This window comes from Homo sapiens, chromosome X, assembly GCF_000001405.40.
Source record: "Homo sapiens chromosome X, GRCh38.p14 Primary Assembly".
NCBI classification, from domain to species: domain Eukaryota; kingdom Metazoa; phylum Chordata; class Mammalia; order Primates; family Hominidae; genus Homo; species Homo sapiens.
Genome location: NC_000023.11, coordinates 54,121,600 through 54,145,998, shown reverse-complemented (window position 1 = coordinate 54,145,998; position 24,399 = coordinate 54,121,600). Strand labels below are relative to the sequence as shown.

Below are 24,399 nucleotides of genomic sequence, written 5' to 3'. Positions count from 1 at the left end.
ACGTGAACTCATCCTTTTTTATGGCTGCATAGTATTCCATGGTGTGTATGTGCCACATTTTCTTAATCCAGTCTGTCATTGATGGACATTTGGGTTGGTTCCAAGTCTTTGCTATTGTGAATAGTGCCACAGTAAACATACGTGTGCATGTGTCTTTATGGCAGCATGATTTATAATCCTTTGGGTATATACCCAGTAATGGGATGGCTGGGTCAAATGGTATTTCTAGTTCTAGGTCCCTGAGGAATCACCACACTGTCTTCCACAATGGTTGAACTAGTTTCCAGTCCCACCAACAGTGTAAAAGTGTTCCTATTTCTCCACATCCTCTCCAGCATCTGTTGTTTCCTGACTTTTTAATGATCGCCATTCTAACTGTTGTGAGATGGTATCTCATTGTAGTTTTGATTTGCATTTCTCTGATGGCCAGTGATGATGAACATTTTTTCATGTGTCTTTTGTCTGCATAAATGTCTTATTTTGAGAAGTGTCTTTTCATATCCTTCACCCACTTTTTGATGGGGTTGTTTGATTTTTTTCTTGTAAATCTTTGTAGATTCTGGATATTAGCCCTTTGTCAGATGGGTAGATTGTAAAAATTTTCTCCCATTCTGTAGGTTGCCTGTTCACTCTGATGGTAGTTTCTTTTGCTGTGCAGAAGCTCTTTAGTTTAATTAGATCCCATTTGTCTATTTTGGCTTTTGTTGCCATTGCTTTTGGTGTTTTAGTCATGAAGTCCTTGCCCATGCCTATGTCCTGAATGGTATTGCCTAGGTTTTCTTCTAGGGTTTTCATGGTTTTAGGTCTAACATTTAAGTGTATAATCCATCTTGAATTAATTTTTGTATAAGGCGTAAGGAAGGGATCCAGTTTCAGCTTTCTACATATGGCTAGCCAGTTTTCCCAGCATCATTTATTAACTAGGGAATCCTTTCCCCATTGCTTGTTTTTGTCAGGTTTGTCAAAGATCAGATGGTTGTAGATGTGTGGTATTAATTCTGAGGGCTCTGTTCTGTTCCATTGGTCTATATCGTTGTTTTGGTACCAGTACCATGCTGTTTTGGTTACTGTAGCCTTGTAGTATAGTTTGAAGTCAGGTAGTGTGATGCCTCCAGCTTTGATCTTTTGGCTTAGGATTGTCTTGGCAATGCAGGCTCTTTTTTGATTCCATATGAAATTTAAGGTAGTTTTTTCCAATTCTGTGAAGAAAGTCATTGGTAGCTTGATGGGGATGGCATTGAATCTATAAATTACCTTGGGCAGTATGGCCATTTTCACAATATTGATTCTTCCTATCCATGAGCATGGAATGTTCTTCCATTTGTTTGTGTCCTCTTTTATTTCATTGAGCAGTGGTTTGTAGTTCTCCTTGAAGAGGTCCTTCACAGCCCTTGTAAATTGGATTCCTAGGTATTTTATTCTCTTTGAAGCAATTGTGACTGGGAGTTCACTCATGATTTGGCTCTCTGGTTGTCTGTTATTGGTGTAGAGGAATGCTTGTGATTTTTGCACATTGATTTTGTATCCTGAGACTTTGCTGAAGTTGCTTATCAGCTTAAGGAGATTTTGGGCTGAGACGATGGGGTTTTCTAAATATACAGTCATGTCATCTGCAAACAGGGACAATTTGACTCCCTCTTTTCCTAATTGAATACCCTTTATTTCTTTCTCCTGCCTGATTGCCCTGGCCAGAACTTCCAACACTATGTTGAATAGGAGTGGTGAGAGAGGGCATCCCTGTCTTGTGCCAGTTTTCAAAGGGAATGCTTCCAGTTTTTGCCCATTCAGTATGATATTGGCTGTGGGTTTGTCATAAATAGCTCTTATTATTTTGAGATAACGTCCCATGAATACCTAGCTTATTGAGAGTTTTTAGCATGAAGGGCTGTTGAGTTTTGTTGAAGGCCTTTTCTGCATCTATTGAGATAATCATGTGGTTTTTGTCTTTGCTTCTGTTTATATGATGGATTGCGTTTATTGATTTGCCTATGTTGAATCAGACTTGCATCCCAGGGATGAAGCCAGCTTGATCATGGTGGATAAGCTTTTTGATGTGCTGCTGGATTCGGTTTGCCAGTATTTTATTGAGGATTTTTGCATCAATGTTCATCAGGGATATTGGTCTAAAATTCTTTTTTTGTTGTGTCTCTGCCAGGCTTTGGTATCAGGATGATGCTGGCCTCATAAAATGAGTTAGGGAGGATTCCCTCTTTTTCTGTTGATTGGAATAGTCTCAGAAGGAATGGTACCAGCTCCTCCTTATACCTCTGGTAGAATTTGGCTGTGAATCTGTCTGGACTTCTTTTGGTTGGTAGGCTATTAATTATTGCCTCAATTTAATTTCAGAGCCTGTTATTGGTCTATTCAGAGATTCAACTTTTTCCTGGTTTAGTCTTGGGAGGGTGTATGTGTCCAGGAATTTATCCATTTCTTCTAGATTTTCTAGTTTATTTGCGTAGAGGTGTTTATAGTATTCTCTGATGGTAGTTTGCATTTCTGTGGGATCAGTGGTGATATCCCCTTTATCATTTTTTATTGCGTCTATTTGATTCTTCTCTCTTTTCTTCTTTATTAGTCTTGCTAGCGGTCTATCAATTTTGTTGATCTTTTCAAAAAACCAGCTCCTGGATTCATTGATTTTTTTGAAGGGTTTTTTGTGTCTGTATTTCCTTCAGTTCTGCTCTGATCTTAGTTATTTCTTGCCTTCTGCTAGCTTTTGAATGTGTTTGCTCTTGCTTCTCTAGTTCTTTTAATTGTGATGTTAGGGTGTCAATTTTAGATCTTTCCTGCTTTCTCTTGTGGGCATTTAGTGCTATAAATTTCCCTCTACACAGAATTTTCATCTTTTCTGCTCTGGTTTCTCCCCATCTGTGTGGTTTTATCTACCTTTGGTCTTTGATGATGGTGATGTACAGATGGGGTTTTGGTGTGGATGTCCTTTCCGTTTGTTAGTTTTCCTTCTAACAGTCAGGACCCTCAGCTGCAGGTCTGTTGGAGTTTGCTGGAGGTCCACTCCAGACCCTGTTTACCTGGGTATCACCAGCGGAGCCTGCAGAACAGCAAATATTGCAGAATGGCAAATGTTGCTGCCTGATCCTTCCTCTGGAAGCTTCATCTCAGAGGGGCACCCGGCTGTATGAGGTGTCGGTCGGCCCCTACTGGGAGGTGTCTCCCAGTTAGGCTACTCGGGGTTCAGGGACCCACTTGAGGAGGCAGTCTGTCCATTCTCAGATCTCAAACTCTGTGCTGGGGGAACCACTACTCTCTTCAAAGCTGTCACACAGGGATGTTTAAGTCTGAAGAAGTTTCTGCTGCCTTTTGTTCAGCTATGCCCTGCCCCCAGAGGTGGAGTCTACAGAGGCAGGCAGTCCTCCTTGAGCTGTGGTGGGCTCCACCCAGTTCCAGCTTCTGGGTGGCTTCGTTTACCTACTCAAGCCTCAGCAATGGCGGACGCCCCTCCCCCAGCCTCGCTGCTGCCTTGCAGTTCGACCTCAGACTGCTGTGCCAGCAGTGAGTGAGGCTCTGTGGGCAAGGCTCCGTGTGTAGGACCCTCCGAGCCAGGCGTGAGATATAATCTCCTGGTGTGCCATTTGCTAAGACCATTGGAAAAGTGCAGTATTAGGGTGGGAGTGTCCCGATTTTCCAGGTACCATCTGTCATGGCCTTCCCTTGGCTAGGAAAGGGAATTCCCCGACCCCTTGCGCTTCCCAGGTGAGGCAATGCCCCACCCTGTTCTGTGGGCTGCACCCAGCACCCACTGTCCAACAAGCCCCAGTGAGATGAACCCACTACCTCAGTTGGAAATGCAAAAATCACCCGTCTTTTGTGTCGCTCACGCTGGGAGCTGTAGACTGGAGCTGTTCCTATTTGGCCATCTTGGAACCTCCTCCCTTTTCATATAAATTTTAGAATAATCTTGTCTATACATCTACAAAAAAGAAATATTGCTGCAATTTTTATTGGAATCGCATTAAATATATAGATGAATTTGGTGAGCCTTTGAATCCATGAATATTATTTGCCTATTTATTTAGGTCTTCTTTGATTTTTTTCATCAGCTAAAAGTTTTATAGTTTTTAGCATACAACTGTACATATAAAAAATATTTATACTTAAGTATTTCATATTTGAGACACCTATTATAAAGGATATTTTGTTTTTTAAATTTCTAATTGTTCATTGCTAATATATAGAAATGCAATTGATTTTTGAATGTTGCCCTTGTATTCTATGACTCTTCTAAACTCACTTATTACTTCTAGGAGTTTTTTGGTAGATTTCTTGGGATTTTCTGTGTAGGTGATCATATTGTCTATGGATAATGACCATTTTATTTTATTTTCCCATCTGTATGCCTTTTTCTTCTTGACTATACTGCACTGTCTAGGATTTCCAAATGATATGAATACAAATGCTAAGAATATATATTCTTATCTTGTTCCCGATCTTTAGAGAAAGCATTCAGTCTTCATTACATAGGATATTAGCTGTAGTTTTTGTGCATGTTATCAGGTTGAGGAAGTTATCTTCTATTCCTAGTTTCCTGGGTGTTTGTATTTTGGCAATTGCATTTTTCCACATATATTGATAGGATCATGTTGTATTTCTTCTTTAGTCCATTAATATTTTAGATTGATTTTTGAATATTCAACCATCCTTATATTCCCAGGATGTGATTGTAGTATATTAGTCCCTTTTTGTATTGCTGGATTTGAATTGCTGGTATTTCATTGAGTATTTTTGCATTTATTTTCATGAGGGATATTGACCTATAATTTTTTTGTGCTGTCCTTAGTCTGGTTTTATTTTCAAGGCAATGCCAGACTTAATGAAATGAGTTGGCAAGAGTTCTTTCCTCTTCTGTTATTGGAAGAGATTTTGTAGAATTGGTGTTATTTCTTCTTTAATTGTTTGGTAGAATTTGCCAGTGATGTGTTTGGCATGGATTTCTTTGAATTTATACTGTTTAGAGCTTCTTGCATCTCTGTTTGTCAGTCACTAAATTTGAGGAGTTTTTAGCTATTATTTCTTTTTCTTTCTTTCTTTTTTTTTTTTTTTTGAGACGGAGTCTCACTCTGTCACCCAAGCTGGAGTGCAGTGACACAATCTTGGCTCACTGCAACCCCTATCTCTCGGGTTCAAGGGATTCTCCTGCCTCAGCCTCCCAAGTAGCTGGGACTACAGGCACCTGCTACCACGCCTGGCTAATTTTTGTATTTTTGGTAGAGACAGGGTTTCACCTTGTTGGCCAGGCTGGTCTTAAGTGATCCGCCTGCCTCGGCCTCCCAAAGTGCTGGGATTACAGGAGTGAGGCACTGTGCCTGGCCAGCTATTCTTTCTTTCTTTTTTTCTTTTTCTTTTCTTTTTTTTTTTTCTTTGAGACGGAGTTTTACTCTTGTTGCCCAGGCTGGAGTGCAGTGGTGTGATTTCAGCTCACTGCAACCTCTGCCTCCCAGGTTCAAGTGATTCTCCTGCCTCAGCCTCCTGAGTAGCTGGGATTACAGGTGTCCGCCACCACGCCTGGCTACTTTTTTGTATTTTTAGTAAAGATGGGGTATCACCATGTTTGCCAGGCTGGTCTCGAACTCCTGAACTCAGGTGATCCACCCGCCTCAGCTTACCAAAGTGCTGGGATTACAGGTGTGAGCCACCGCGCCCAGCTATTATTTCTTTCCTTTTCTTTTTTCTTTTTCTTTTTTTTTTTTTTGAGACAGAGTCTCTGTCACCCAGGCTGGAGTGCAATGGTGCGATCTCAGCTCACTGCAACCTCCGCCTCCTGGGTTCATGCAATTCTCCTGCCTCAGCCTCCCAAGTAGCTGAGATTATAGGTGCACGCCACCACACCCGGCTAATTTTTTTTATTTTTAATAGAGACGGGATTTCACCATGTTGTCCTGGGCTAGTCTCGAACTCCTTAACTCAAGTGATCCGCCCGCCTCGGCCTCCCAGAGTGCTGGGAATATGGGTATGAGCCACCGTGCCCGGCCGGGAACCCTTCTTTCAAATAGTTACATGAAATTCAGCTTTTTGGAAAAAGGAGAGCCATTTTGTTTTTAAGTTAGGCTAGAGGACCTGAAGACCTCAACTCTTGTGTTTATGTACATGCACGCTGCAAATAAAGAGGCCTGGAATGCTGTATAGATCCTGGAGTGTTAACAATCACAATCTAGCCAGGTGTGGTGGTACACACCTGTAGTCCAGCTACTCAGGAGGCTGAGGTGAGAAGATCACTTGAGCCCAGGAGTTCAAGGCTGCAGTGAGCTATCATCACACCACTGTACTCCAGCCTGGGCAACAGAGGAGACCCTGTCTGTCTCAAAAATACAAATAAATAAAAAAATTTAAAAATAAAAGCAGGGGCCAGGCAAGGTGGCTCACGCCTGTAATTCCAGAACTTTGGGAGGCCGAGATGGACGGATCACGAGGTCAGGAGATCAAGACCATCCTGGCTAACACAGTGAAACCCCGTCTGTACTAAAAATACAAAAAAAATTAGCTGGGCATGGTGGCGGGTGCCTGTAGTCCCAGCTACTCGGGAGGCTGAGGCAGGAGAATCACTTGAACCCAGGAGGTTGCAGTGAGCCGAGATTGTGCCACTGCACTCCAACCTGGGCACAGAGCAAGACTCCATCTCAAATAAATAAATAAATAAATAAATAAATAAATAAAAGCAAAAAAAAAATCAAAATCTATGAGAGATAACATTATACATGTTTTACAGTTTTTTATTTGTAGAGAATACTCAACACTAGGGCTGTATGGTGGGACACTCTTGTACATTCATGATGGTAGTATAACTTGAGACATCTGTTTTGGAAAGAGATTTAGTATCATGTGTCAAGAGTTTGTGAAAACGATCACACCCTTTGACCTAGTAACTACACTTCTAAAAATTTGCCCTATGAAATAACCCAGAAGACCTACATAAAAATATGCCTATGTGAGAGTATTATTTATAATTAGAAACTGAAAATGACTTTAATATCTTCCATTCCACTTGATGAAATATTATGATGGTCTTAAAATTATATTCAAGGAGACTTTTAAATAACTTTGGAAAAGGCTTGATAAATGAAAAAGCCCCTTCTTAGCCCTTTCCCTACAGAGATAAACATTAATTTTTACTTCTGTTGCCACAGATTAGTTTTGCCTTTACCTGAACTTTTTGTTTGTTTGTTTGTTTAGACAGTCTCGCTCTGTCGCCTAGGCTGGAGTGCAGTGGCAAGATCTCGGCTCACTGCAGCCTCCTGGGTTCAAGCGATTCTTTTGCCTCAGCCTCCCAAGTAGCTGGGACTACAGGCGTGCACCACCATGCCCAGCTAATTTTTGTATTTTTAGTAGAGACAGGTTTTTACCATGTTGGCCAGGCTGGTCTCGAACTCCTGGCCAAAGGTGAGCCCCACCTTGGCCTCCCAAAGTGCTGAGATTACAGGTGTGAGCCACTGCACCTGGCCCTCCTTTACCTGAACTTTATATGTACTCTTTTTTTTTTTTTTTTTTTTTGAGACAGTGTCTCTGTTGCCCAGGCTGGAGTGCGGTGGCACAATTTCGGCTCACTGCAGCCTTGACCTCCCAGGCTCAAGCGATCCTCCCACCTCAGCCTCCCAAGTGCCTGGGACTACAGGCACACGCCACCACACCCAGCTAATTTTTGTATTTTTTGCAGAGACGGGGTTTTGTCATGTTACTCAGGCTGGTCTGAATTCCTGGGCAGAAGTGATCTGCCTGCCTCAGCCTCCCAAAGTGCTGAGATTACAGGTGTGAGCCACCAGGCCCAGTTTATGTGTACTCTTTTGTGTCTCCCTTCTTCACTCAGTATAATATCTTTGAGACTTACACATATTATCGTGTATATCAATACTTTGTTCTTTTTTATAACTGTATAGTAATCCATTGTATGAATATACCACAATTTATTTATTCTTCCATTGATATATATTTGAGTTGTTTCCAGTTTGGGGCTATTATGAATAAAGTAGTTGTTAACATTCTTGTTCATGTCTTTTGGTGGATATATGTACTCATTTCTCTTGGGTAGTATTTAACTGTATCCTCCTAGAAGAAGTAGGATTGCTGTATCATATGGTAAGTGTAATTTAATTTTATAAGAAACTGCCAAATTGTTTTCCAAACTGTACCAATGTACACTCCCACCATCAATGTACTGGAGTTCAGTTACTTCATATCCTTGCCAGTGCTTGATATTGATAGTCTTTTACTTTAGCCATTTTGGTGGATATGTAGTGGTGTCATATTGTGGTTTTATATATGTTTAAGTGCCTTTGGTTTTAATGTTCATACCTTTTGAACCAATAATTTCATTTTTAGGATATTTTCCTAAGAGCATAATCTGAAATCCAGAAAAAAATTTATATAGACAATATATACTCTTTGCTGTATAACTTACAAAAGCCAAATGTGAAAAATTACCTAAGTGTTTTTATTAGGGAAGAGGTTACATAATTTATGACACATTCATAATGACAAAATATGCAGCCATTCAAAATTACTTAGATTATTATTATAAAAGCAGGATACAAAATTGTACATAAAGCATACTGTCAACTATAGAAAAATACATATATTAAAATAGACCAGCTATACATCAACAAAATTATACAAAATAATACTGTAAGCCAGCCACAGTGGTTCATGCCTATTATCCCAGCACTTTGGGAAGCTGAGGCAGGAGGATTGTTTGAGGCCAGGAGTTTAAAACCAGCCTGAGCAAAAATAAAAAAAAATTGGCCGGGCACCGTGGCTTACGCCTGTAATCCCAGCACTTTGGGAGGCCAAGGCAGATGGATCACTTGAGGTCAGGAGTTCGAGACCAGCCTGGCCATCATAGTGAAACCCTGTCTCTACTAAAAATACAGAAGTTAGCTGGGCGTGGTGGCACACACCTGTAATCCCAGCTACTCGGGAGGCTGAGGCAGGAGAATCGCTTGAACCTGGGAGGTGGAGGTTGCAGTGAGCCAAGATCACACCACTGAACTCTAGCCTGGGCGACAGAGCGAGACTCTGTCTCAAATAATAATAATAATAATAATAATAAAATAATAAAATTAAAACATACTGTAAGGAAAGACACCAATTATTTTAGAAAGACACCAAAATATATTTGGATGGTGGTACTATGTGATTTTTCCCCCTTATCCCATTGTATTTTTTTGTAATGATCATGTAATCATTTTAGAATAGCACAAAATATAAGCTTTAAGTATTCCATATTTGATGTTTCATAATGCTTTCTCCCTGCCTAATCTTGTCTGCAAAGCGAAAATTTGCTTTCTTAGGTTTCTTTAAATATTTGATTTCTGATAATTATTTTGATTCCCAAATTATGAACTGTATTAAAAAAACACTCTCATGTTTTTTCTTCTGAAAATCTGATGTTCCAACATCCAGTCCAGGACAGAAGATAAAATAGAGCGATTCAAGAAAGCAGTTGAGTATTATTCAGTCACAACCAAACTCTCTTCGCTGCCAGTGGGTCCCTCCTTTCTAGGTAAGGCTTCCATCTGACCCTAAGCTGCTCTGTTCATAGGGGAAACTGAGTTGGTCCCTCAGGAACTCCAGGGCCAGAGTGGAATCACTCATTCGTGTTATATCCTCCTACAAGTCATTCCTCATCCCTGTTTGGTAGGCTTTCTCCTTTTGATTTCTGTGTCATAAGAGACGTAACATAAGAAGGGCCCTGGCCAGGCACAGTGGCTCACGCCTATAATCCCAGCACTTTGGGAAGCTGAGGCGGGCGGATCATCTGAGGTCAGGAGTTCACGACCAGCCTGGCCAACATGGTGAAACTCCGTCTCTATGAAAAATACAAAAAATTAGCTGGGCGTGGTGGCAGGCGCCTGTAATCCCAGCTACTCGGGAGGCTGAGGCAGGAGAATCGCTTGAACCCGGGAGGCGGAGTTTGCGGTGAGCCAAGATCGCGCCATTGCACTCCAGCCTGGGCAACAAGAGTGAAATTCCACCTCAAAAAAAAAAAAAAAAGAAGGGCCCTGCTTTCTCAAATTTACAGATGGGGTGCAATGCCATTTCCTTAGCTTGGGCTTCTTCTGATGCCAACCCCCATTCTGGCCTGGTATATGTAAAATATCCCTGTCTTTGGGGTCTGGCCTGAGTTGGAATTCCACTTCTGCTAATTACCAGCAAGTGAACCTTGGCAAGTCACATTTATATGAAATGTGGCTCATGATACCTACTTTATAAGATTCTTATCAGATGAAATAATTTATGTAAGGTTCTCAGCATGGCACATAGTAGCTGTTCAATAAATTGTAACTTATTTATTAATAACACTTTTTCAGGTGATATGGGGTGAGCAGAATATAACATGGTAAAATTATTAGGATTGACTGAAGTATAGCTCTTTCTCTTGGCTTCAGGTTTTCGGAATAATAGGCTTGGAAATCCTCCCCTTCCACGAAATCAAGTGGGCACCATTTCTGCTGGAAAGCCAATGGTAAGCATCCTTTAAGAAGCCTGAGATAGCATTAGACTCAGGTTGCTTCCTGATTTTTATAATCTGAGGAGTTAGGGTGATTCAGTGTTATTAGACTGTCAGGGCTATATATACTATATTACCTTCTCAACTTAAGGCTGGAAGACTATGCAAAAAAAGCATCCAAATCAGTAACCACTAGTCATTGTGAAAATAGATTAGCTAATATCAGAGAATAGTTCTAGGAGACTTCAACTGTTCATTGTCCTGTCTGTGGAGGATTCTGTTCATACATCATTTCTCATTATTCTCATTAGGTGCTTTGTATCTCAACAATCTCCACTGCTGGCATCATCCACTGTGTCACAACTTCTGAGGGAGCCACCTTGGAGCCTTATAAAATGTTAAATAGCTTTTCTGTCTGTTTTATCGTTTAGTTTTCTCATCAAGTGCCCCAGAAAGTGAAATATCCACCACCATTCCCAGTGGGACCCAACTCATCTCTTCTCTTCTCCTCCCATGCTTTGGGGGAATCCCATGCTTTTTCTGAGGATCCCATGCTGCAGAACAGCCCCTTTGCCAATTGGGCTGTCTCCTATGACTCTTCTGCATCCCAGTTTCCCAATTACCTGCCTTCTAAAGCCTCACCTCCTTTGGGACCAGACTCTTCCCACTCCTCTTCCTCTGATGGTGATGAGCCAAATGGAGCTAGCTCTGAGTAAGTATCTCTGTAGACACCTAAGGAAGTAGATTTCTGAGGCATCTGTATTATTTTGCTTGTTAGATGGGTGGAGGGTGTGGGAAAGTGTATTCCTGGGTTTCCTCTGTAGTGTTTTGCTCTTAGGAAAGCAAAGTAGGAAAACGTTTTCTATGCTTGCCCACTTCATGCTTATTTGGCCCTGTGCAGATGGTAATTTTCAAACACCCAGGCCACTGAAGTAAAAGGCAGCATAGGAGCTGATTAAGGAAGCCTTGGTATGGGTATTGTGGCTGTCATTTCTTAATTTGTGAGGAGGGCAGATTAAATGTCAAAAAAAGAAAAGCATTTATAGAGTGGAAATAGTGGAATCGTTGAGTAAGCAATTTTATTGCTTAGTAACTAAGACAGGGTTCTGAGGATTAAAACAGTGGGATTTGTGCTAGCTCATTTGTTCGTTGATTATTCCTCTAAGCAGATTAGTCCTGGGAAACAGAGCTGCTTTGAGGTTGTAATTGTGATTATTTTCTTAAAACATAAGCAAACTCTAAACATGGCCTCTTACAAGGTATAAAGGGTCCAGAGTGATTCCCATGACTTTTGATCACTTTGGTTGGTGTCAGGTGAAAGAAACCAGGAAGTCAGTAATGGCCATTGAGAGGAAAGGTACCAGTCCAGTGCTAACCCAGTGTCCTGCCCTCCAAAGGGTTTGTGAGACCCCTTGGGTCCAGAACAGGCATCTTAAGTAGGAATATCTTTATCAATCTCCCTTTTCTGTTTGACACTGTCTTTCTACATTTTTTAGTCATATCACAGAAGCATTTCATCACCAGCCTGAGTGGGGAAATCCCAATCGTGACAGAGGGTCCTGGGCACAGCCTGTTGATACTGGAGTTTCAGAAGCGAGCCTAGGTGATGGTGAGCCCCACATCCCATCTCTGCTGTCTATGTCTACAAGGAACCACATGGATATCACCATTCCACCCTTACCTCCAGTAGCTCCAGAAGTCTTGAGAGTTGCTGAACACAGACACCGGAGGGGTCTTATGTACCCATATATCTACCATGTCCTCACTAAGGTGAGGCAGCACATCAGCACCTACCTCCCTGCTCTTAACACTGTACTTCCTACTTCCTAGGACTGTAAGTTACAGAGAACATTCTGGTCACTGGTATATGAAGTTAGAAAAAGAAGGCCACATGTGGTGGGCCCCTCATCCTACTAAGGCCTTAGGTGAGGCCAGACTAGCAGGAGTTGGGACTGTGTGGTAAATGAGTCCCCTAGAAGAGAAGTGTAATTGTGAGATTTTGAAGTAGATAATGCACCAAGTTGGTCTGGTTCTAGGGATGGACACAGTCTAAGAGGCTTTATGCCCTTTTCCTTATTTCTTTTTCTACTTCCACAAAGCTGTTCCCCTCCTCTGGTCTTATACATGTCCATCCTCGAGCAAAATGCCTAAGGTGGACTTTCCCCATTCATTAGCTATAGTCATTGTTGAGACTTTATTTTATTTTATTTTGTTTTATTTTTTGAGACAGAGTCTCGCTCTGTTGCCCAAGCTGGAGTGCTGTACTCTTCTGCCTCCGAGGTTCAAGCAATTCTCCGGCCTCAGCCCTCCTGAGTAGCTGGGACTACAGGCACCTGCCACCACACCTGGCTAACTTTTGTATTTTTAGTAGAAACGGGGTTTCACCTGGTCTAGAACTCCTGACCTCAGGTGATCCACCCGCCTCAGCCTCTCAAAGTGCTGGGATTACAGGCATGAGCCACCATGCCCAGCCGTTGAGACTTTAAAAATGAAATATAGCTTATAAGTAGGCTGCAATCAGCTAAGCTTGTTACAGCTTCTTTTTAGTATGAAACTGTCTAAATACAAATAAATTTAGTAGGCCACAGAGGCTACAGTTTATTATTGGCTCTTCTCAGCTCAGTTCTAAACCTTGAGGTAACTCATTTTTTCCTTTTCCCTGGAATGTTCTCTTGTTAGGGTGAAATTAAGATCCCCGTATGTATTGAGGATGAGTGTAACATGGAGCTGCCTCCAGCTGCTCTCTTATTCCGGTCAGCTCGTCAATATGTATATGGAGTTCTTTTTAGTCTGGCAGAGACACAGAGGAAAATGGAACGCTTGGCCATGCGACGGCGGCTGCCTGTGGAAGGTAAGTGTAGTTCTAGCTATGACAATTCTCTCAGCACTTGACACAGCAGATATGTCTGTCCAGGCACATTGGGTACCTTTGGCTATGGAGTAGTCTTTAAGAAAATGCAACATTCAACAAAATGCATACTGATACTGGGAATACATTAACTTAAGCCCCAATTCTGCAATTATTCAAGCATTTAGAGTGACTACTACTTATAAGAACCATGCTGGACCAGGCATGGCAGCTCATACCTGTAATCCCAGCACTTTGGGAGGCCAAGGCAGGCGGATCACTTAAGCTCAGGAATTCAAGACCAGCCTGGGCAACGTGGCAAGACTCCATCACTAGAAAAAATGCCGGGTGCTGTGCCTCATGCCTGTAATCCCAGTACTTTGTGGGGCTGAGGTGGATGGATCACTTGAGTCCAGGAGTTCAAGACCAGCCTGGGCAACATGGAGAAACTCCATCTCTACTAAAAATTGAAAAAATTAGGCGTGGTTGTGTACACGTGTAGTCCCAGCTACTTGGGGGGCTGAGATGGGAGAATTGATTGAGTCTGGGAGGTCAAGGCTGCAGTGAGCCCTGATCGTGTTACTGTACTCCAGCCTGGGTGACAGAGTGAGACCCTGTCTCAAAAAATAATAATAATAATAAAGGCCGGGCGCAGTGGCTCACGCCTGTAATCCCAGCACTTTGGGAGGCCGAGGCGGGCAGATGACGAGGTCAGGAGATCGAGACCATCCTGGCTAACCCAGTGAAACCCCATCTCTACTAAAAAATACAAAAAAAAATTAGCTGGGCACAGTGGCAGGCGCCTGTAGTCCCAGCTACTCGGGAGAATGGCATGAACCTGGGAGGCGGAGCTTGCAGTGAGCCGAGATTGCTCCACTGCACTCCAGCCTGGGCGACAGAGCCAGACTCCGTCTCAAAAAAAAAAAAAAAGAAAGAAAGAAAGAAAAAAGAAAAACAGGCCAGGTGCAGTGGCTCATGCCTGTAATCCCAGCACTTTGGGAGGCCAAGGCGGGCGGATCACCTGAGGTCAGGAGTTCGAGACCAGCCTGACCAACATGGAGAAACCCTGTTTCTACCCAAAATACAAAATTAGCCGGGCATGGTGGCGCATGCCTGTAATCCTAGCTACTTGGGAGACTGAGGCAGGAGAATCGCTTGAACTCAGGAGGCGGAGGTTGCGGTGAGCCGAGATCGTGCCATTGCACTCCAGCCTCGGCAACAAGAGCGAAACTCCGTCTCAGAAAAAAAAAAAAAAAAAATTAGCTGGGCATGGTGGCATGTGCCTCTAGTCCCACCTACTTGTGGGACTGAGGTGGGAAGATTGCTTGACCCTGGGAGGTTGAGGCTGCAGTGAGCTGTGATCGCGCCACTGCACTCCAGCCTGGGTGACAGAGGAGACCCCGTCTCACACACAAAAAGAAAGAACCATACTGGGCTTTGGGAACATAGAGGTGTATCTAACAGTCTCTCTCCCATGAATTTTTTGTTTTGGGATTTGAACCTGTAGGTAGTTGGAGACATTGAAGTATTTTAAGCTACACAGTGCCATAGTCAAATTAGTGTGTTCAAAAGAACATTTCTCTGTTTCTGGGAAGATAGAGTAGATCAGATGTATTTTTCCTTAGTCCTCATGCTAAGTACAACTAAAAGCCCAGGACATTATCCATAAAACAAGGACAAGACACTCTAGAAAGTAGAAATCTTGGGGCCCAAGGAATGACGCAGTGGTGCAGTGGTGAGTTCCCTGAATTTTCTTTTTGCCTCACGTATCCCAGACTGGGTGTAGGACAAACTGGCAGCCCATAAATGTCAACAGCTGCAGACCATTATAAGCCCACCACAAAACCTACTTTCTCTGGCCAAAGGACCAGAAAAGAACAACCTAACAACACAAAGATTTTTAAATAATAATCTCTGTACTCCAGCCAAATACCACAGGAAAACAATGGTCTACCCCCACCCCTACCAGCAAAGGCCAAATGAAGAACCTAGACTTCCATACTTGCCCAGGCTGTAATGAGGTGCCCCTACCTGCTCCTGCTGGGGAGGTGTCAGATAAGGTCAAGTGGGGAGCCAGGACTTCCACTTCCACCTGTCAATAATGACACAGTGTCCCCCTTCACCCACCATAGTGGGGTCAGAAAAGGCCTACTAATACACAAGGTTTAAGTAAGATCCAGAGTATTTTAAAATAATACCCAAAATGTCCAGTTTTCAATGGAAAATTCCTCATCATACCTAGAACCAGAAAGATAACAAATTCAGACCTCAAGAAAACAAAACGAACACAGAGATGACAGAAGTTTGAATTATCTGACAAGGATTTCACAACAGCCACCATAAAAATGCTTTGATAAACAGTTATAAACATATTTGACTTTTGCATAGCAAAAGAAACAATCAACAGAGTAAATAGCCTACAGAATGGGAAAAATATTTGCAAACTATGCGTTGGACAAAGGGGTAATATTCAGAATCTACAAGGAACTCAACAAGAAAAAAGCAAATAACCCCATTAAAAAGTAGGCAGCTCTCCCTCTCCCTCTCCCTCTCCCTCTCCCCACGGTCTCCCTCTCCCTCTCCCTCTCCCTCTCCCCACGGTCTCCCTCTCCCTCTCCCTCTCCCCACGGTGTCCCTCTCCCTCTCCCTCTCCCTCTCCCCAGGGTCTCCCTCTCCCTCTCTTTCCACGGTCTCCCTCTGATGCCGAGCCGAAGCTGGACTGTACTGTTGCCATCTCGGCTCACTGCAACCTCCCTGCCTGATTCTCCTGCCTCAGCCTGCCGAGTGCCTGCGATTGCAGGCGCGCGCCGCCACGCCTGACTGGTTTTCATATTTTTTTGGTGGAGACCGGGTTTCGCTGTGTTGGCCGGGCTGGTCTCCAGCTCCTAACCGCAAGTGATCCGCCAGCCTCGGCCTCCCGAGGAGCCGGGATTGCAGACGGAGTCTCGTTCACTCAGTGCTCAATGGTGCCCAGGCTGGAGTGCAGTGGCGTGATCTTGGCTCGCTACAACCTCCACCTCCCAGCCGCCTGCCTTGGCCTCCCAAAGTGCCGAGATTGCAGCCTCTGCCTGGCCACCACCCCGTCTGGGAAGTGAGGAGCGTCTCTGCCTGGCCGCCCATCGTCTGGGATGTGAGGAGCCCCTCTGCCTGGCTGCCCAGTCTGGAAAGTGAGGAGCGTCTCTGCCCGGCCTCCATCCGATCTAGGAAGTGAGGAGCGCCTCTTCCCGGCCACCATCCCATCTAGGAAGTGAGGAGCTTCTCTGCCCGGCCGCCCATCATCTGAGATGTGGGGAGGGCCTCTGCCCCGCCGCCCCGTCTGGGATGTGAGGAGCGCCTCTGCCCGGCTGCGACCCCGTCTGGGAGGTGAGGAGCGTCTCTGCCCGGCCGCCCGTCTGAGAAGTGAGGAGACCCTCCGCCCGGCAGCCGCCCCGTCTGAGAAGTGAGGAGCCCCTCCGCCCGGCAGCCACCCCGTCTGGGAAGTGAGGAGCGTCTCCACCCGGCAGCCACCCCGTCCGGGAGGGAGGTGGGGGTCAGCCCCCGCCAGGCCAGCCGCCCCGGCCGGCCGCCCCGTCCGGGAGGGAGGTGGGGGGTCAGCCCCCTGCCCGGCCGGCCGCCCCGTCCGGGAGGTTGGGGGCGCCTCTGCCCGGCCGCCCCTACTGGGAAGTGAGGAGCCCCTCTGCCCGGCCACCACCCCGTCTGGGAGGTGTACCCAACAGCTCATTGAGAACGGGCCATGATGACAATGGCGGTTTTGTGGAATAGAAAAGGGGGAAAGGTGGGGAAAAGATTGAGAAATCGGATGGTTGCTGTGTCTGTGTAGAAAGAAGTAGACATGGGAGACTTTTCATTTTGTTCTGTACTAAGAAAAATCCTTCTGCCTTGGGATCCTGTTGATCTGTGACCTTACCCCCAACCCTGTGCTCTCTGAAACATGTGCTGTGTCCACTCAGGGTTAAATGGATTAAGGGCGGTGCAAGATGTTTTTGTTAAACAGATGCTTGAAGGCAGCATGCTCGTTAAGAGTCATCACCACTCCCTAATCTCAAGTACCCAGGGACACAAACACTGCGGAAGGCCGCAGGGTCCTTTGCCTAGGAAAACCAGAGACCTTTGTTCACTTGTTTATCTGCTGACCTTCCCTCCACTATTGTCCTATGACCCTGCCAAATCCCCCTCTGCGAGAAACACCCAAGAATGATCAATTAAAAAAAAAAAAAAGTAGGCAAAGGACAAGAAAAGACATTTTACAAAAGAATACGTACAAGTGACCGACAAATATATGAAAAAATACTCAGCATCACTAGCTATCAGAGAAATGCATATTAAAACCACAGTGAGCTGGGTGCAGTGGCTCACGCCTGTAATCCCAGCACTTTGGGAGGCTGAGGCGGGCAGATCACATGAGACCAGGAGTTTGAAACCAGCCTGGCCAACATGACGAAACCCGTCTCTACTAAAAACACAATAAATTAGCTGGGCATGGTGGCACACACTTGTAATCCCAGCTTCTTGAGGGGGTGGGAGGGTGGTGAGAAGGGAAGCGGGGCTGAGGCACAAGAATTGCATGAATCTGGGTGGTGGAGGATGCCGTGAACCAAGTCTAAAACCAACAGATGTTGGCAAGGATGCAGAGAAAAGGGGATGCTTATATACTGTTGGTAGGAATGTAAATGAGTACAACCTTTATAGAAAATAATACAGAGATTTCTCAACTAAAAAACGAACTACCATTCAATCTAGCCATCCCACTACTGGGCATACATTCAAAGGGAAAGAAATCATTATATCAAAAAAGATACCTGGGCCAGGCATGGTGGCTCACGTCTGTAATCTCAATACCTAGGGAGGCCCAAGTGGGAAGATGATTGAGGCCAGGAGTTTGAGACCAGCCTGGGCAACATAGTGAGACCCCATCACTACAAAAAAAAATTTTTTTTAATATAGCTGAGCATGGTGCATACCTGTAGTCCCAGCTACTCCGCAGGCTGAGGCCAGAGGATTGCTTGTATCCAGGAGTTTGAGGCTGCAGTGAGCTGTGATCACTCCACTCCATTGCACTCCAGCCTGGGTAACAGAATAAGATCTCATCTTTTTTTTTTTTTTTTTTTTTGAGATGGAGTCTTGTTTGTTGGCTGGAATGCAGTGGCACAATCTCGGCTCACTGCAAGCTCCACCTCCCGGGTTCACACCATTCTCCTGCCTCAGCCTCCCGAGTAGCTGGGACTACAGGCGCCCACCACCAGGCCCGGCTAATTTTTTGTACTTTTAGTAGAGACAGGGTTTCACCATGTTAGCCAGGATGGTCTCGATCTCCTGACCTCGTGATCCGCCCGCCTCGGCCTCCCAAAGTGCTGGGATTACAGGTGTGAGCCACTGCACCCGGCCATCTCATCTCTTAAAAAGAAAAGGGATTACATAAAAACAACACTTCAGACCAGTATCCTTCATCAATATATGTTATGGATTGAGTGTTCCTGTCCCCCGCAATTCTTATGTTGAAATCCTAACCCCCAATGTGATGGTATTAAGAGATGGGGCCTTTGGGAGATAATTAGGTCATGAGCATGGAACCTTCATGAATGAGATTAGTGCCCTTATAAAAGGAACCCCAGATAGCTCTTTCTACTCTCCACTATATGAGGATACAATGAGAAGACAGCCATCTGCATACCAGGAAGCAGGTTCCCACCAGATGCCTCTACCAATACCTTGATCTTAGACTTCCGAGCCTCCACAACTGTAAGAAATCAATTTCTGTTGATTATAAGCCTCCCAGTCTATGGTACTTTGTTATAGCAGCCCAAATTGACTAAGACAATATGGATGCAAAAATTCTTAATGAAATATCAGCCAGGGGAATTCAGCAATATATAAAAAGAATTACATGCCATGGCCAAGGCCGAGTAGGGTTTATTCCATTGTTGTAAGACTTGTTCAATATTTGAAAAATCTGTAAATATAATCCACCAAATAAACAGGCTAAAGAAGAAAAATCATGTGATTATATCAATGGATGCAGAAAAAGCATTTGACAAAATTCAATACTCATTCATGATAAGAACTATCAGGAAACTAAGAATAGAAGGGAACTTCCTGAAGATAAAGAACATCTACAAAGAACCTACAGCTAACATACAGTCATTCCTTGCCATATGTGGGGGATTGGTTCCAGGACCCCCACATACACTAAAATTCACTCATAATCAAGTCCCACAGTAGGTAGGCCCTGCAGAACCTGTGTATATGAAAAATTGGCCCTCTATATACGTGGGTTTGGCATCATGTGAATTCTGTGTTTTCTATCAGTGTTTGGTTGAAAAAAATTTGTGCATAAGTGGACCCGTGTAGCTCAAACTTGTGTTCAAGGATCAACTGTACTTAATGGTGAAAGATGTTTTTCTCCTAAAATCAGGAAGAAGGCTAGAATGTCTGCTCTTTCTACTGCTCTTCAACATACTAATGGAAGTTTTAGCCAGACCAGTAAGGCAAGAAAATGAAATAGAAGGCATAGACATCAGTAAGGAAGAAATAAAACTGTAATTGCAGATGGCATATAGTCAGTCTGTGTAGAAAAATCACAAGGAATCTACAACAAAACTCCTGGAACTAATAAGTGAGTTTGTTAAGGTTGCAGGATACAAGATAAATATATAAAAATTGATTACCTTTCTATATACTAACAATGAATATGTGGAACTGAAAAAAGTGCAAGACCATTTACAGTCCTTCCAAAGAAAATGAAATAAAAATTTAACAAAAGGTGTTGAAAATCTGTATGCTGAAAGTCACAAAATGCTGATGAAATCAAAGATCTTAATAAATGGAGAGATACAGATGTTCATGGATTAGAAAACTCAACATAGTAAAGATGTCAGTTCTCCCCAAATTGATAACACAGGTGTGATGCAATTCCTATCCAAATCCCAGCAAGATTCTTTGTAAATATAGACAAGATGATTCTAATGTTTATATGGAAAGACAAAGGAATTAAACTAGCTAAAATGATTTTTGAAAAGGAAGAATAAGTTGAAAGCAATTGCTGAACCTGATTGTAAGACTTACTAGGTAGCTACAGTAATTAAGATTGTAGGCCAGGCATGGCCGCTCACGCTTGTAATCCCAGCACTTTGGGAAGCCAAGGTGGGTGGATCCCTTGAGCTCTGGAATTTGAGACCAGCCTGGGCAACATGGAGAGACCCCATCTCTGCTAAAAATACAAAAAATATATATAGCCAGTTGTGGTAGTGTATTACCTGTGGTCCCAGCTCCTCAGGAGGCTGAGGTGAGAGGATCACTTGAGCCCAGTGGGTAGAAGTTGCAGTGAGCTGAGATCACTCCACTGCACTGTAGTCTGGGTGTCAGAGCGAGACCCTGTCTTAAAAGAAAAAAAAGACTAGGCAGAGGTATTGACATGTAGATCAATGGAATACAACAGGGCATCCAGAAATAGTCCCATATGAGTACTGATTTTTTTTTTTTTTTTTTTGAGACAGAGTCTCGCTCTATTACCCAGGCTGGAGTGCAGTGGCACAATCTCCGCTCACTGCAACCTCTGCCTCCCGGGCTCAAGCAATTCTCCTGCCTCAGCCTCAACTGGGATTACAGGTGTGAGCCGTCATGCCTGGCCAGCAAACTGATTATTGACAAAGCTGCAAAAGCACTTCATTGGAGGAAGGATAGTTTTTTTGTTGTTTTTTGTTTCTTTTATATAAATGGTGTTAGATCAACTGGACATCCATAGTTGAACAAGTACCACATATCTATACTAGTATCTAAAATATATAAAGAACTCTCAAAACTGAACATAACAAAAACAATTGAATTAGAAAATTGGCAAAAGACATGCACAGACATTTCACTGAAGAAGATATACATATGGCAAATAAAGACATGAAAAGATGTTCAACATCAGTAGCCATTAGAAAAATACAAATTAGCTTCTAGGTCGGTGGGGAGGAGCCAAGATGGCCGAATAGGAACAGCTCCGGTCTACAGCTCCCAGCGTGAGCGACGCAGAAGACGGGTGATTTCTGCATTTCCATCTGAGGTACCGGGTTCATCTCACTAGGGAGTGCCAGACAGTGGGCGCAGGCCAGTGTGTGTGCGCACCGTGCGCGAGCCGAAGCAGGGCGAGGCATTGCCTCACCTGGGAAGCTCAAGGGGTCAGGGAGTTCCCTTTCCGAGTCAAAGAAAGGGGTGACGGACGCACCTGGAAAATCGGGTCACTCCCACCCGAATATTGCGCTTTTCAGACCGGCTTAAGAAACGGCGCACCACGAGACTATATCCCACACCTGGCTCAGAGGGTCCTACGCCCACGGAATCTCGCTGATTGCTAGCACAGCAGTCTGAGATCAAACTGCAAGGCGGCAACGAGGCTGGGGGAGGGGCGCCCGCCATTGCCCAGGCTTGCTTAGGTAAACAAAGCAGCTGGGAAGCTCGAACTGGGTGGAGCCCACCACAGCTCAAGGAGGCCTGCCTGCCTCTGTAGGCTCCACCTCTGGGGGCAGGGCACAGACAAACAAAAAGACAGCAGTAACCTCTGCAGACTTAAGTGTCCCTGTCTGACAGCTTTGAAGAGAGCAGTGGTTCTCCCAGCACGCAGCTGGAGATCTGAGAACGGGCAGACTGCCTCCTCAAGTGGGTCCCTGACCCCTGACCCCCGAGCAGCCTAACTGGGAGGCACCCCCCAGCAGGGGCACACTGACACCTCACATGGCAGGGTATTCCAACAGACCTGCAGCTGAGGGTCCTGTCTGTTAGAAGGAAAACTAACAAACAGAAAGGACATCTACACCGAAAACCCATCTGTTCATCACCATCATCAAAGACCAAAAGTAGATAAAACCACAAAGATGGGGAAAAAACAGAACAGAAAAACTGGAAACTCTAAAACGCAGAGCGCCTCTCCTCCTCCAAAGGAACGCAGTTCCTCACCAGCAATGGAACAAAGCTGGATGGAGAATGATTTTGACGAGCTGAGAGAAGAAGGCTTCAGACGATCAAATTACTCTGAGCTACGGGAGGACATTCAAACCAAAGGCAAAGAAGTTGAAAACTTTGAAAAAAATTTAGAAGAATGTATAACTAGAATAACCAATACAGAGAAGTGCTTAAAGGAGCTGATGGAGCTGAAAACCAAGGCTCGAGAACTACGTGAAGAATGCAGAAGCCTCAGGAGCCGATGCGATCAAGTGGAAGAAAGGGTATCAGCAATGGAAGATGAAATGAATGAAATGAAGCAAGAAGGGAAGTTTAGAGAAAAAAGAATAAAAAGAAATGAGCAAAGCCTCCAAGAAATATGGGACTATGTGAAAAGACCAAATCTACGTCTGATTGGTGTACCTGAAAGTGATGTGGAGAATGGAACCAAGTTGGAAAACACTCTGCAGGATATTATCCAGGAGAACTTCCCCAATCTAGCAAGGCAGGCCAACGTTCAGATTCAGGAAATACAGAGAACGCCACAAAGATACTCCTCGAGAAGAGCAACTCCAAGACACATAATTGTCAGATTCACCAAAGTTGAAATGAAGGAAAAAATGTTAAGGGCAGCCAGAGAGAAAGGTCGGGTTACCCTCAAAGGAAAGCCCATCAGACTAACAGCGGATCTCTCGGCAGAAACCCTACAAGCCAGAAGAGAGTGGGGGCCAATATTCAACATTCTTAAAGAAAAGAATTTTCAACCCAGAATCTCATATCCAGCCAAACTAAGCTTCATAAGTGAAGGAGAAATAAAATACTTTATAGACAAGCAAATGCTGAGAGATTTTGTCACCACCAGGCCTGCCCTAAAAGAGCTCCTGAAGGAAGCGCTAAACATGGAAAGGAACGACCGGTACCAGCCGCTGCAAAATCATGCCAAAATGTAAAGACCATCGAGACTAGGAAGAAACTGCATCAACTAACGAGCAAAATCACCAGCTAACATCATAATGACAGGATCAAATTCACACATAACAATATTAACTTTAAATATAAATGGACTAAATTCTGCAATTAAAAGACACAGACTGGCAAGTTGGATAAAGAGTCAAGACCCATCAGTGTGCTGTATTCAGGAAACCCATCTCACGTGCAGAGACACACATAGGCTCAAAATAAAAGGATGGAGGAAGATCTACCAAGCCAATGGAAAACAAAAAAAGGCAGGGGTTGCAATCCTAGTCTCTGATAAAACAGACTTTAAACCAACAAAGATCAAAAGAGACAAAGAAGGCCATTACATAATGGTAAAGGGATCAATTCAACAAGAGGAGCTAACTATCCTAAATATTTATGCACCCAATACAGGAGCACCCAGATTCATAAAGCAAGTCCTCAGTGACCTACAAAGAGACTTAGACTCCCACACATTAATAATGGGAGACTTTAACACCCCACTGTCAACATTAGACAGATCAACGAGACAGAAAGTCAACAAGGATACCCAGGAATTGAACTCAGCTCTGTACCAAGCAGACCTAATAGACATCTACAGAACTCTCCACCCCAAATCAACAGAATATGCATTTTTTTCAGCACCACACCACACCTATTCCAAAATTGACCACATAGTTGGAAGTAAAGCTCTCCTCAGCAAATGTAAAAGAACAGAAATTATAACAAACTATCTCTCAGACCACAGTGCAATCAAACTAGAACTCAGGATTAAGAATCTCACTCAAAGCCGCTCAACTACATGGAAACTGAACAACCTGCTCCTGAATGACTACTGGGTACATAACGAAATGAAGGCAGAAATAAAGATGTTCTTTGAAACCAACGAGAACAAAGACACCACATACCAGAATCTCTGGGACGCATTCAAAGCAGTGTGTAGAGGGAAATTTATAGCACTAAATGCCTACAAGAGAAAGCAGGAAAGATCCAAAATTGACACCCTAACATCACAATTAAAAGAACTAGAAAAGCAAGAGCAAACACATTCAAAAGCTAGCAGAAGGCAAGAAATAACTAAAATCAGAGCAGAACTGAAGGAAATAGAGACACAAAAAACCCTTCAAAAAATCAATGAATCCAGGAGCTGGTTTTTTGAAAGGATCAACAAAATTGATAGACCGCTAGCAAGACTAATAAAGAAAAAAAGAGAGAA

The 24,399-nt window shown here is 43.8% G+C and overlaps 1 protein-coding gene across 3 annotated transcripts in view, besides 1 other annotated feature; it reads left to right on the top strand.

Moving 5' to 3' along the window:
• Positions 1–24,399, top strand: part of FAM120C (family with sequence similarity 120 member C) — a 114,931-nt gene that overhangs the window by 37,256 nt on the left and 53,276 nt on the right. For all 3 annotated transcript variants that reach the window (NM_001300788.2, NM_017848.6, XM_006724589.5), the window contains exons 5-9: positions 9,409–9,508; positions 10,395–10,471; positions 10,888–11,168; positions 11,953–12,226; positions 13,136–13,307. In NM_001300788.2, the coding sequence (NP_001287717.1) occupies positions 9,409–9,508; positions 10,395–10,471; positions 10,888–11,168; positions 11,953–12,226; positions 13,136–13,307 (904 nt within the window). The remainder of the gene's footprint in view (positions 1–9,408; positions 9,509–10,394; positions 10,472–10,887; positions 11,169–11,952; positions 12,227–13,135; positions 13,308–24,399) is intronic.
• Positions 17,050–17,570: an enhancer, noted in NCBI's record as "NANOG-H3K27ac hESC enhancer chrX:54154862-54155382 (GRCh37/hg19 assembly coordinates)". NCBI's record gives its function as "activates a minimal SCP1, AML or CMV promoter by ChIP-STARR-seq in naive H9 embryonic stem cells {active_cell/tissue: H9 hESC(naive)}" and the evidence as "EXISTENCE:reporter gene assay evidence [ECO:0000049][PMID:30033119]".